This window comes from Homo sapiens, chromosome X (assembly GCF_000001405.40).
Source record: "Homo sapiens chromosome X, GRCh38.p14 Primary Assembly".
Taxonomy (NCBI): Eukaryota; Metazoa; Chordata; class Mammalia; order Primates; family Hominidae; genus Homo; species Homo sapiens.
This window is the reverse complement of record NC_000023.11, coordinates 120,279,514-120,293,648: the sequence shown is the minus strand read 5'-3', so window position 1 is coordinate 120,293,648 and position 14,135 is coordinate 120,279,514. Positions and strand designations below refer to the sequence as shown.

The 14,135-nt window shown below is 43.7% G+C and overlaps 1 protein-coding gene across 6 annotated transcripts in view; it reads left to right on the top strand.

The window, feature by feature from the left end:
* The window catches only part of TMEM255A (transmembrane protein 255A), a 60,029-nt gene that overhangs the window by 17,813 nt on the left and 28,081 nt on the right, over positions 1-14,135 (top strand). For 3 of the 6 annotated variants that reach the window (XM_017029619.3, NM_017938.4, XM_047442231.1), the window contains exons 4-7: positions 2,309-2,398; positions 6,427-6,495; positions 7,953-8,024; positions 8,434-8,522. In XM_017029619.3, coding sequence (XP_016885108.1) covers positions 2,309-2,398; positions 6,427-6,495; positions 7,953-8,024; positions 8,434-8,522 — 320 coding nt within the window. The remainder of the gene's footprint in view (positions 1-2,308; positions 2,399-6,426; positions 6,496-7,952; positions 8,025-8,433; positions 8,523-14,135) is intronic. The other 3 variants (NM_001104544.3, XM_047442232.1, NM_001104545.2) reach the window with 2 other exon arrangements.

The window sequence follows — 14,135 nt, the reverse complement described above, 5'->3', positions numbered from 1 at the left end:
ATTTCTGTTACTACAGCCCTGGATTATTGGTGGCCGTCACATCTTTCTCTCTGATACATAATCTTTTGGGCAAGTTTTCACAGAGAGTTCCTGCCTTTTAGGAGATTACAATATAGCAGACTTTGATTTAATGAGCAAGTGTACTTGTGGCACACACAAAAAAAGATAAAATAAAATTATAAAGCCATCCTAAAGTATCTCCATTACCCATAGTTCAAAGCTAAGCATGTTGTAAGATTGAAAGGAAGGACAAGCATATAACAGAAGGTGAAGCTTCTATGTCTTAACAGGGGCCCACAAGGGCAAGCTGTTATACTTTCCTGGTTCAATCTGAAAAGGCTCCCTCAAGGGTAAAGGTAGAAGATATAGACTGAATTGCAAGCATATTGCAGTTTTATAGAGTTGTAAATCAAGATGCCTGGTGAGTGGTCAGATGGTGATTGGGCTCCCCCTGTACAGTCTCTGTGGCACTGAAACTTTGACAATGGGGTCTATTTCACAGCAAGTTTAATCAGATAACGTAATAGCTCCAAGGACAGAGAACTCTAACCATATGTTTTCCCCCAGCGATATGGGGAATCACCCTCAAGGGAGTTCTAATAGTTTTTTTCTTCCATTTCACCTGGGCTGCCTCCTTGCCAGTTGTGTTTGCACTTTAGGCTTAAATTATTCAAAATAATGGGGGAATTTTAATTGTAGAGCTGATCATAGCATAGCTAATAATGTCAATTTCATGACATTGTTCATACATTATTTACCAATTCTCTGTAACACTATAAAGTGAGAATTATGGGGAGAGGTTTCTGAACAACTCCCAAAGGAGATAAGTATTTCCTCCTAGCCTGTTGAGGTGGGAGAACCCTAGGGTGGCCTTGATTTTTTTTTTTTCGAGATGGAGTCTTGCTCTGTCGCCCAGGCTGGAGTGGAGTGGCACCATCTCGGCTCACTGCAACCTCTGTCTCCCGGGTTCAAGCCACTCTCCTGCCTCAGCCTCCCGAGTAGCTGGGATTACAGGTGCATATCACCATGCCTGGCTAATTTTTTGTATTTTTAGTAGAGATGAGGTTTTACCATGTTGGCCAGGCTGGTCTTGAGCTCCTGACCTCAAGTGATCCACCCGCCCCAGCCTCCCAAAGTACTGGGATTACAGGCGTGATCCACTGCGCCCTGGGTGGCCTTGATTTTGATTTTCTCCTTCTCCCTGGAGAGCAGCTTGATGCCATGTGATCTCCCCCTCTTTTCTTCCAAAAACCTCAGGGAAAAAAAGTGCTGATTCCATCTAGTTCTGAGGGTCAACACAGGCAGGCGGTCAGCTCAGGTAGCATCTATCTCTGCCCCTGGAAAAGCCTTGAAATTCCTATTTTCCCCCACATTTGGTTGTAGTAGCATCTTTGTAATAGTAGACAAATTATTAGGAAAATTTCTGTTATCTAACACAATTAGAGAATAGGGTAGCCTGGTTCTAGCAAACATTTGTCTTACTTGAAAGTTTTTATATGTACCATACTGGCTGTGCATAGTGGCTCACACTTGTAATTCCAGCACTTTGGGAGGCTGAGGCAGGAGGATTGCTGTTCTCAGGAGTTTGAGACCACTCTAGGCAACATAGGAGACCTGTCTCTAAAAAAATTTAAAAATTTTAAAAATATGTATCATACAACGTTGATTCAGAGACTTCAATCCTTTGTAAAATGTCCTTGACATGTAAGTCTTAAGTTGAATGTCCTGTTTCTTCAGTGTTGCAGAAGGTCATGTAAAGTTTTGCAGGACCCCGGAATCATCATTGCCTTCATCAGTGCCCACTATAGCATCAAGTAGCAGTGTGAGGGGGTAAAAAGAACACTGGATTAGGAGTTGGTGAGCACCAGGCTTTTCCACAGACTAGATGGAGACCCTGGGCACACCATTTCCCCTCACTGTGCCTCCATTTCTACATAAATAAAATAGAGGATTGAACTACCTAATGTCAAAAGTCCAACATTATTTCTGAGTCCAAGGATGGAAGGGCCGTGCAGTCAAATTCCTTCATGGACAGCATGCTAGATACCAGCAAGCCTCCTCTTCATTTGGTGCTCACAGAGTGAATTTCTTAGCTTTCCCTGAAAATGTAAAAATTGCTTCAGTTGCCCATTCTCTGCCTCCCCTGCCTACCTCCCTTCCACTCATCCTGCATGACCAAAAAGAGCATTCCCATGGGGTGGTAGGCTAGAGTTCTGCTTTGGCTGGAAGTCTCTTGGGGATTGCCTGGTCCCCAGAGGCAGCAAGTGCGAAAGGCTAACAGACGCTTTTGTTTTATTCCCCCCTACAGCTGGTGGCTTCTATCGTGTTTATCAGCTTTGGTGTGATTGCGGCTTTTTGTTGTGCCATAGTTGACGGGGTCTTTGCTGCCAGACACATTGTGAGTATTTTTTCGTCCTGAGTTAAAGTAAATAGGCAATACAACAAGGCCCCACTGAATGTGTGCTCGATGTTCAGTCCTTTGCTTAGTGTCATGAGGGTTACATGAGAGGGAGAAGACACAGTCCCTTTTCTCAAGGAGTTGGCAGTCAAGGTGAAGACACCAATGGACACGCGGACATCTAGAGAATGAGGTCTAAGCTGGGGGAACAAACTCCAAGTGCCATAGTGGCTTATCTTGGATTCCAGAGGTCAGAGAAGGCATTCAGTGGTGGTAGGGCTGGAGCTAGGCCTTTGACACGTGGGTAAGATTTGAGAAGGCAAAGGATCAGGGGAATTGCTTAGAACTAGTATTGGGGGCAACGGGGTAGAGAGAGAGCACCAAGAAGCCACATGACTTATGGTCAATGCCGTCACCCAAATAGTCTATGAAATGGCATCTGAAGAAACAATTCCTGGGCAAGGAGAAAAACAAGGAATGCCAGAGAAAGGCCCTTTGCCTGATTTTCTTTCAGGACCAGGAATATAAATGTAGGCCCCTCTACCAGATCCATCCCTTCTGATTTTAGCTGAGATCAGCCATCTTTTTCATCATCTTTTTCTTCTTATAAAGCAAATGACACATCAGTAACTTTAAACATCCATAATTCTACCACCCTAACTTGACAATTTTTATTGTTTTTGCATATTAGCTGCTGAGTATATACCTATTTTTGTAGCATAGTTGCAGTCAATCATAGTATGCATACTATTTTGTATTCAACAGAAGCCATCTTAATAACAATAATTCCTTGTTTTGTGTAGTGCATTTAGCTTTTCAATGTGACTTCACATCTATTACCTCATTTGAAACCCACAGTAATCCTGTGATATATATAGGGCAGGCATTATTATCCCCATTTGACAAACAGTATTCACTCTGAGGCAGTCTCCATGGCAACATAGGCCTAGTGGCTAAGAAGCCTGCAGTAGATTTTGATGGCAGCATGAGCTAAAATGGCTTCCTTTTTTCCCCTCTTCCCCTCATTCCTAATGTTGTTTAATAGCTTTATTGAGATATAATTCACATCCCATACAATTCACCCATTTAATGTGTATAATTCAATGATTTTTAATATATTTAGTATGTATCAGTTATTTATGTGCAACCATCACCACAGTCAATTTTAGATTTTCATCATCTTGAAAAGAAATCCCATACCCTTTAGCTTTCACCTCCACATTCCCACATTCTCCCCAGACCCAAGCAACCACTAATATACTTTCTTTGTGTAAGGTATCCCTATTCTAGACATTTCATATTAATAGAATAATATAATATATATATTCTCTTGTGATTGGTTTCTTTCAGTTAGTATAATGTTTTCAAGATTCGTTCATGTTGTATCAAGTACTTCATTCCGTTTTATGGACTAATAACATTCCGTTGTATGGGTATACCACATTTTCTTTGTCCGTTCACTAGTTGGTGTACATTTGAGTTGTTTCCACTTTTTGGTTATTATGAATAATTCTACTGTAAACATTTATGTACAAATTTATGCATGGATATATGTTTTCATTTTCATTTTCATTTTCTTTCTACCTAAGAGTATAACTGCTGGATCATATAGTAAGTATGTTTATTTGTTTGAGGAACTGCCAGAGTATTTTCCAAAGTGGCTGCACTATTTTACATTCCCACCAGAGTGTTTGATGGGTTTGATTTTGCTACATACTCATCAACTCTCATTATTATCTGACTTTTTGATTCCAGCCATCCTAGTGGGTATGAAGCAGTATCTCATTATGGTTTTGATTTGCATTTTCCTGACATTCCAATGTTTTTGATCATTGGCTCCAGTCAAAGGCAATGGGCAAAAATTCAAATTATATTTACTGGAAGTTTCCTCTAATGACCACTACTTGCCTCTGAGTCCAGGCCCTCTGTACCTCCTGCTGCTGGTGACCTGCAGTACAGCATTTGACTCAAGTATTTGGGGGTACGACTGGATGAATATTTAAGAAAATCTTTCTGCTTATACTATACCTGCCCTAAGACATTGGCTAGTCCTCATTGACACCCAGAGAGCTTTGAGGAAGGAGGCTTTATTAATCTATGATGGTATCTGTTGGCCAACTTAAATGAAAGGCACATTTGGACCCTAGCACAGCTTGGATGGGTGAGAGCCAGCTGTCCTATTGTTGAGGCCCTTTAACATCATCTTTCCCTGTTCCTTTGACTTGGGTGAATCTGAACTTCCTCTCAAGACCTACCACCTTCTCACTCACCCTTCTCTATGTGTCTTGTGCCATTTCTCTTTTGTCTCATATTTCTTTCCTTTCCCCTCTCCCTAGTATAGCCATTAACTAGCTTGGAAAATCACTTTACCTTCTTGTACCATAGTTTTCTTTTCTTCTAAATGGATATAGTAGTAACCTACCTTTCAGGGTTAGCATGAACGTGAAATTAAATAATGGGAATGGATATGCCCTAAGAGGGCCTGGCATAGAGCAGACACTCAACATAAAACAATTTCCTTTTCTACCCCTTCATGCCATAGTTGGTAGCCCTTCAGATTACAGAGGTTGCCAAGCCCTGGCTGAGTGACCTTTTCTTGCCTCCCAATTGCCTTGTTCTTGTTACTCTTCTGGGCCTCAATGAAGAGTATCAGCCAGAGGCAGCAAATGGGCAACTATCACACGTCTGTCTTCATGTAGGGCACTTGGTGCCTGAATGCTTTTTGCAAAACCAGGAGGTGAGAAGGGCTGTGACCAGCACATTAAGCCTCCTCTTCAGCAGGATAATTATGATAATTATTCTGCCACTACCCAAACACCAAACATGGACAATAAGCCCTTCCAGGTGTGAGCATGAACACCCTCATTCCTTTCCAGCTAGACTCCAAGCTAAGCTAACAGGGCAAGGTACTTTCAGAACATTGAGCAGGCAGGAGTTTCATGTAGAAGTAGCTAGCTGATGGAAAGTCCTAGAACCTTAATGGGGAGGCCGGCTAAAAGGCAGGAGGCATTTGAGTGCCAAGTACAAAAGACGCTAAATCACATGTGTGGGGAAAAGCAGCCACTGAGATGATCGTAAATGGTGAAAGAAGTGGGGGCAGAAGGGAAGGAGACAATACATAAATTCCCTCTGCCTGGGTACTTCTGCCAAACCCCAAGGTCAATTTGCATAAGTTGTTTGTCCTGTCCTAAGGTGCCTTTGGAAGAAGCCCCCTACCACTCAGGGGAGGTTTAGCATCAGTCCGGAAAGTGAACAGCAGCTCCTGCCTGCAAGCTTCCAGGCAGCCCTGGCTTGTGTCTATTGGTTCTACCCCAACCCCCATGCATGAGAGCTCTCTCTCATCAGGAAGCTGGCCAAGCCAGCAGAGTAAATCGACTGTCCTTGAGCCCCATGTTAGTTTTCTGAGACTTGAACAGTGTTTTTGGAGTTCACTGATTTTATCTAATCTATGCAGTTGGGTGAAAATGGCTCACAGTTCAATTGAGTTAAAATCTACAGCAGCCTCAGGAGCTGCCCCTCCTCCTGAGGCTTGCTTCCTGAGCTCTTCCTTCTGAAAATGATGCGGAAATGACAGCAAGAGGTACAAGTCAGCCAACCATAGTCCTGTCCCCAGGTGATAATGAAACCTCATTGTTGGACTTGAGCTCTCTCTGCTTGAAAGTGTCATTTCATAATAACCTGGAGTTTTGCATCTTGTTCCCTGAGGACTGTTTACAAGAAGACAAAGGCCAGAAGTAAAAGAAAACCAGAGAGGAAATTTCAAGAAGCCCATTTCTCAATCAGTTTCATAATTTCTCATTAACCAAGTAGTCTAATAGAAAGTAATTTTTAAAGTATTTTTGTCTAATCTTCACTCAGTCTCCCTAGACAGGTGACTTTCAGAAATTAACCCAATCTACTGCCTGCCTGCTTCTGTGTGTGTGTGTGTGTGTGTGTGTGTGTATTCAAACCTTTTATTACCAAGTACAACACTTGCTGTTTTATTTTCCAAAGTCAAAACCCCTTTGTTTTGGTGTTTCCCTTTTCAGGATCTGAAACCACTCTACGCTAACCGGTGCCATTATGTTCCCAAGACATCACAGAAGGAAGCTGAGGAGGTGAGCCAGAATGAGGCTGCATGTCTTTACCTCCTGGGAAAGTCCCCTGTTCTGCCTGAAACACCCTTTCTTTTACTCCTTTTCATGGGCCTAAGTTTTATTTCTAGGTATGTATAGCTGATTTGTTCAGTGGGTCAGAGCACATTGCTAATGAGGCCATGGTCATAGGTTGGAGCCTCATGAGGCCTAATCAGTTTTACTTTGTTCTGTGGCCACAGGCTGACCCTCTGACCCCAGCCGGGAGCCTCCCCATATGTGGCTTTGATCCTCAGGGGGACAAATGAGAGTACAGAGGCCACAGGACATGACCCTCCCCCATCTCTGTGGATGATGGTTCAGTTGCCTGAACTCAGTGCTCAGTTGGAATAAAAGTGGAAGCCCCACCAGGGCACTAGGCCTGAACTACGGAGGCAGAGCCTGAGTTCCACACATAGGATGGGTCTGGAAGCCAAATGAGGGTAACTGAGAAGCCAGATCCACCTTTATGCTCTGGGGAGGCTGGGACTGTCAGCCTGGCCCCTCTCATAACACCTCCAAGAGGCCAGCCTAATAATGCTTGAGCATGCACAGATGAGTCTCTCTTCTGCCCCAAACAGCTCTCCTTATGTTCCATGTTGCCTCAAGCAGAGCTAGATGCAATGCGTAGTGAGGCAAAGTATGACTCCAGGTCATTTTTGGAGAGCTTTCATTTCAGTATACAATAATCCCTTCCCAACCCAGGGATTTCTCCATATGAAACTGTACCTAGGCTTCCAGGAATCTTGACAATTTTGTACTCTATTAACCTCACATTGAAAGTCAATCATTCCCAAATAGTTAGAAAAATGGTAAACTTTCAGTTGGGAAGAGAAAAGGAAGGCAATTGGATGTAAAATGGCCACTGCATTGCACAGCTTCAGGGGAAGCCATTTTACATAAAATACAATGTGAATGGGTGCCCTTGGAGTAAGGCAAAGCAGTCCTGCTCCAAAGGCACCATGGCAAATACTTTGATTATGTCTCTGCCATCCACTTGACTCCTTTTTCTTTTAACAACCATAAATTTACTATTTCTCTCACTGTTCTCAGGTTAGATAGGAGGAATAGAAATGCATATATGATAACAGCTTATCTGAAAGGCAGTAAGCATTTGGATGAAGGACCCAATATAGAAAAAAATGCCCATTTGCTATGAATATTCTCTATAACAAAGCAAGACAAATTTAGCAGCACTTCATTGCATCTGGATGGGGGAGAGAGCTGGACAATTTCTTGCTAACAAGAGATGGTAAATGAAATTCTTTTCCGTTTTTAAAACCTTTTTGCTAACTCAAAATGTGTAAAATGTCATTGCTGTTCTCTAGATTTTGTTGTGATAGCTTTCTTGCGTTAATTTGGTGACTGTAAAAATATTAATAATGACTTCCATAGGTTCACTTGTAACCCTGGTCCCCCTAACCCTATTTTTCCTACATAAGGTCATAAGTTCCTCAACCAAAAATTCTCCTTCCACGAGGGTTATGAGGAACCTTACCCAGGCAGCTAGAGAGGTACTATTGTACTTCAGAGTGCATGCGCCGGCTCCTCTGTCTTCCTTCCCACCTTATCTTCTTTCCTCCTGTACCCTGATTTTGCCTGCCCTCATATTCTCATTTCCTTCAGTCCATTTGTTCTTCCGTCTGTCCTTCCATCTGTCCTTCCTTCTCTCCATCTCCACCATTCAGGGATGGGGCACTGAGGGCTGTGGCAGAGGCTGGACATGAGCCCAGCTACACAGTGACTTGCCTCATGCACAAGTTCGGCCAGCTCCCCATCCAGCCCCATCCTTCCCACACATTGGGTGTTCATTTCAAAGCCATCCTTACTGTCTCCATCAGTCACTAACTCGCATTTCCAATCCCAGAGGGTCCTGCTTCCTATCCAATGCCAGCTCATCTCCTCACTGTTATATACCGTCAGGTTAACTGCCCTCACCTCAGCCGTGAATTCTGCACACCTCGCATCCGGGGCAACACCTGCTTCTGCTGTGACCTCTACAACTGTGGCAAGTAAGTGTTGAGGCCCAGACACAGGAATAATGGTCTGACCACAACGGACACTAGAAGGGCTGAGGTTAAGGAAGGGTGCATTGTGGGAATTAGGGAAGTGGAAGACATTGATCTGTTAACAGATTTTGGCTAACAGACATTACTTGCCTTCTCTGTGCCAGGCATCATGCTAGGTACTTTCACATACTTGATCTCATTTAATTCTTACTTATGATGTATGCAGAGTAATCCTCATTTTATAGATGAGGAGAGTGAAGTTCAAAGGAAACAGACAACTAGCCCAAGGTTACACAGAACTTGAAAATAATATGTATAGGATTCAAACTCAGCTCTGTCTATATCCAAGTTTAACAATGTTCAATAAATAGTTACTGAGTACCTTCTCGGTGCCTGGCTCTGTTCTAGACACTGAAGGTTCAGCAGCCAACAAAACAGAAGTCCTTTCCCCTGTGGAGCTTATATTCTAGTAGGGGAGACAGTCAACAAATACAGAAATATATAATATAATGCCAGGTGGTGATCAGAGCTCTGAAGAAAAATGAAGCAGGAGAGGTAGATAGTGATGAGGGGTGTGTGTGTGTGTGTGTGTGCGTGCACGTGCACATGCACGCACACTGTATGTTAGATAGAGTAGCCAGGGAAGGCCTCTTTGAGCAGGTGACATTTGTGCAGACCTGAAAGTAGTTGGGGGTGGGTGGGCAACCCAGGTAGATACCTGGAGAAAGAGTGCTTCAAGCAGAGGGAATAGCAAGTGCAAAGGTTCTGAGGCAGGAGCAGTTTTGGTGCTGGTTCTGCTACAGCCACTCTGGCTCTGTGCACTCCAAATTGCTAAAACATCCTTTATTCTTTCTTTCAAAATATATTTGGGCGCTAGGAATACAGAGATTGCCACTGAAGAGCTCGTAGACTAGTAAAGAGGATGGACATGTGAACAATCGATTGCAATATAATGTGATAAGTGCAGTGGGGATCAGTGGATGTGGTGGGGATTCTGGAGGCCCAATGAATGAAAGTCAGAGTTTGCCGGGAGGGAAAAGTGTCAAAGAGTAGGTGATATGGGAGCTGAGACTTACAGAATAAGTAGGGAATCAGGAGACAAACCAAAAGAAGACAGAGGTGGGAAGGATATTCCTGGTAGTTGTGAAGAGGTAGTGGGTGGAGGTAGTTACAGAAGGTGTGGTAGGAGGTAAGACAGAGGTGTAGCCAGAGATCAGATGATAGAGAGCTCATTGGCCATAGGAATGACTTCAGACTTGACCCTGTAGGCAACTGGGGGCCATTGAAGGGTACAGCATGGAAGATGGAATTGAGTGGTTGAGGAATGGAGGCAGCTAGGAGGCCATTGCAAGAGCGCAGGCCATAGAGAATGGAGCCTAGATCAAGTTGGAGACAATGCAAAGCGGGGAATCATTTTAAGAGCAATTTAGAAGGTAGAATCAATAGGGATGTGTGAGTAGGTGATGTGCACAGTGAGTGAACACCTCTCCATGCAGGGTATGTCGACCAATGTTCGTCATGCACGTATTTCCTTCAGAATCTTAGTGAAGGCGAACTGAGGGCCACGGGAGGGAGGGAGTAAGGGGAGGAACCTGCAGAGTGGGGCTGGATGGAGCTAGATTCAGAGGCAGCAAGTGGATGCAGCCCCCTCATCACTCACATTCCCTACTGTCGGTATTTTGGGGTCAGTTACTCTGGTTTAAGGATTAAGACTTGCCAGACTAGAGTCAGGGAGGAGAAGGCAGAGACCATACACCAGCTCTTTACCTTCTTTGCTTGTGCCAGTCTTGTTTCATTGAAAGGTTTGGCAGTGGAGGAAGAGAAATTTACAGATTCAAATGAGGTTTAGGGATTATCTGGGGAGTTCAATTATTTATGTTGTAATAATAACCATCACTTGTAAAGGACTTCCCTCCTTAGCAGCAATGATGGAGAGCTGGCTATAACTGTACTTCCTCAGCCCATCCTTACAAAAATGATCAAAGAAATGTAACACGGGTCCTAGGGGAATTGGGGTTATTTTACTATCTTTCCTCTTGCCTCCCCTCATCCTTCCTTCCCCGATCTGTCTTTCCCTTTGTTTTTATCTCCTCCCTCTTCTCTCCCTCCTCCTGCCATCCTTCTCCATTTTCCTTGGTGCTCTCCTCTCCTTTCCCATTTCATGGCCTCCTAGGGTGGTGCTGGGAGCTGGCCAGAACTGGGCCTGAGATCTCAAGGAGAGAGGAGGCCCACTGAGAGGGTTGATAAGTGATTCCTTGCAGACACACCTTTCTCTCTGTGACAGTGTGTTTCTGAAAAAGGTTTGAATACACAAAACCCTACTTTAAATTCCATTTAGCTGAGTCCTCAGGTGAATTGTTTTTGAAAGTGGAGGCTCAAGTCCATTCTATGTTCCTGTCAATCTGAACTTCATAAAAATTGACTTCCTTACTTTCTTAAAGCAAGTTATACCAGAAGAGTCTTCAAGGAATTTTATGAGGAGCTGTGCTAAACTATGCACTCCCCAAGGGCAGGGAGCATGACTTAATCTTATCTATACTTCCCTGGCCCCAGCACAGGGCTGGGCATGAGTAAAGAGCCGATGAAAAGGGAGTGATATTTGTTGAAAAGGAACAAAAAGAAGAACTCCCTTTTCACTGGGGAAAATAAAATATTGGACTAGGCAACTGAGAGGGGTCATGGGAACAGTCCTACTAAAGATCTTCAAGCCTAGAAATGTCTTTCACCTACCTAGTGCCTGGAAGCCAGCCCCGGACATCTCTCAAAGCCCTTTCCCAAGTCTGTAGTGCTAAGATTCCAAGGGCAAAGCCACTAGAAAAGGACTTCCTTAGCTTTTCCTGAGGAAACAGTCCCACCAGGCCATAAACCCAGGCTGAGACTGAAGAGGCGAGGGTCCCACAATAGAGGAAAATGTTTTTTCTTGACCTGGGGCTTTTTCCACCCAGAGCCAAAGAGACCTAAACTCAAGGCCTAAATATAGCTAGCAATAAGCATTCTGAGGCTTGGAGACTTTAATTTTGCCAAATGTGTATTTGTTTTCCTCACACGAAGCCTATTTTTAATCAATTGCCAGCTCCTCCGGTCCATTTCCTGGAAAGGAGGCCAAGAAAAAAAAAGTGGGAACAAAAACATCAGGCAGTCATTTGTACAGTGCTACAGAAACAGAGTCTCTACTGTCCCCTCGAACCCACAGGCCTTCTTTGACGTCAGGGGTGTTGAGGTTTTAATACCAAACATAGATTATTCTATTTAGCCTCATGCAGGAAGGTGGCTTTCTCTAGGACACAGCTCCTCAGCAGTTGCCTTTCAGAGTACTTCAGGCTTTCACCTACTCACTCATCTTTGGAAAGGTCAAGTCAATATCACTGGTTTTCAGCCCGTAACCTAAAGGAAATGAAGTGATTTGTGAACAGCATCAGCTGGTAATAAAATGAAAGAAGATAGCCTACTTCCATTCACTCTTTTCTTCGACAAACTTTTCTTGAGCTCCTACTATGTGCTAGGGGCTGTTCTAAAAGAATGGGCATCAATAAGACACAGCTTTGCCCTTAAGGAACTCAATTTGCCAGGGAGATTGAAGGGAAGGGGACTTAAACGTATATGCAGAATGCATGCAGCAGGAGAGAGACACATAGAGGCTGGCCATTGCCACTGCCTGTCCACCAAGAATTGGTGAGTGCTCCAGGCCCTTATGGAAGAGCAGAAGGATGCCCTCCTGCCTTATCTAAGATCTTCTGCTGCCTACTTTGTTAAGTAGGAGACTGAAACACAGAGAACTTATCCGTTTCTCTAGGTCCACCCAGAACGTTGAGAGCAAGGGGGTAAAAGCCCACATTGGGTAATCAATCTCATGATCAATACAGTGATTAGTCTTTGCACTCAGTTACTCATTCACCGAGTATTTATTGACGACCTTTAATGTTTCTACCACTGTGCTAGGCAGTGAGAGAGACACAAAGGAATGTTAAGAGACGACCCTCGCCCTCAAGAGGTTGCGATTTTGACAGAAACATCATGTCGGCCTTGGCCTTGATTGTAACATTAGCACCAGCACAGTATTTAGCACTGATACGCTACCAACACATATTAGATTAAATAAATAACTGAATTATTGATATATACAAAGTGCCAAACTAAGAGGAATAGACTATGGGAGTCCAAGGAAAAAGCTAATGAATGGGTAGTGGCGTCTTTGAAGAAGGCACTATTGAAGCTTTGAGCAGTGAGAGAGATTAGGATAGGCAGAGAACAGAAAGCAATACCTTCAATGCAGGGGGAGAAATCTGAGCAAAGGTTTGGAATTAGTACCCAGCATAGCCAGTGTGGGGCTTCTGTGGACTCCAGCCTGGCTGGAGTGTATACTCCATTTTGAGGCTGGACTTTGGCAGACTGAGGAATTTGAACACTCCCCTGAAGGTACTGGGGAGCCACAGAAGGGTTTTGATTAAGTGAATGACATATTTTTAAAAGTGTTTTAGGAAGAGTAATCAGGCAGCAGTGGGGTCTGGCAGGACAGCCTTACAGTGATGGAGGCATGAGGATGGGAGCAGTGGGAATGCAAAAGGTGCAATTTCAGAGGAAGCTCTGCCCAGAGACTGAACCAAATGGAATCCTGAATCTCAAGCAGAAAAAAACCACATTAATTTGCTAAACCCGAACCATATCTAAGAATTAGCTTTCTTTTCCTTCATGGTTCAGTGAAAAAAAAAAATTAAATGGCTGCTGGAACCACTCAAACTGAAACCAAGTATATATTATCTAAAATTATTGAATATTTTAAAACAAACTACTATCCTATTCCCATATTGCGGTTTGTGCCTACAAAGTCTTAATACTGGCCAGGGACAGTGGCTCATGGCTGTAATCCCAGGACTTTGGGAGCCTGAAATGGGAGGATAGATTGAGCCTAGGAGTTCGAGGCCAGCCTGGGCAACATGTCAGAACCGCATCTCTACAAAATTTAGCTGGGCATGGCAGTGTGAGCCTGCAGTCCCAGTTACTTGGGAGGCTGAGGTTGGAGGATCACTTGAGTCAAGGAGGTTGAGGCTGCAGTGAGCCATGACCATACCACTGCACTCCAGCCTGGGTGACAGAGCAAGACCCCATCAAAAAAAAAAAAAAAAAAAAAAAAGAAAGAAAAGGAAAGAAAAGAAGGAAGGAAAAAAAAAGAAAAAGAAAAAACCCAACCAACCAAACAAACAAAAAACAAAATAAAGTGTTAATACCTTTAAGAACAGGGTTCAAAGGTTTGAATTGTGTTGCCAGAGGCTGGCTCTTAGAAGGAACAAAATGTAGCTACATATTTTAGTGGAGGCTTTTATTATATGTTGGAGTACTGCTTTCATGCCTGTTGGCATTACATCCCCCGGGCTCAGAGAAGTTAAGTAAAGTAAGTAACCTAAGAGTAAGAAAGTAAGTTGCTAGAGTCAGCATCTGGTGACAGAGCATAGATGACAGAGCCAGGATTCGAACACAGTCTGACTTCAGAGTCAGCTATGGCATACTGCCTGCCTATATATACTACTAGTCCACCCTTGGTGTTTTAGGAGGCAGGCAAACATAATTTGGGGGATGTCAGAAGTTGACTCCCAAGCTACAAAGGTGCTCCTGCAGTTC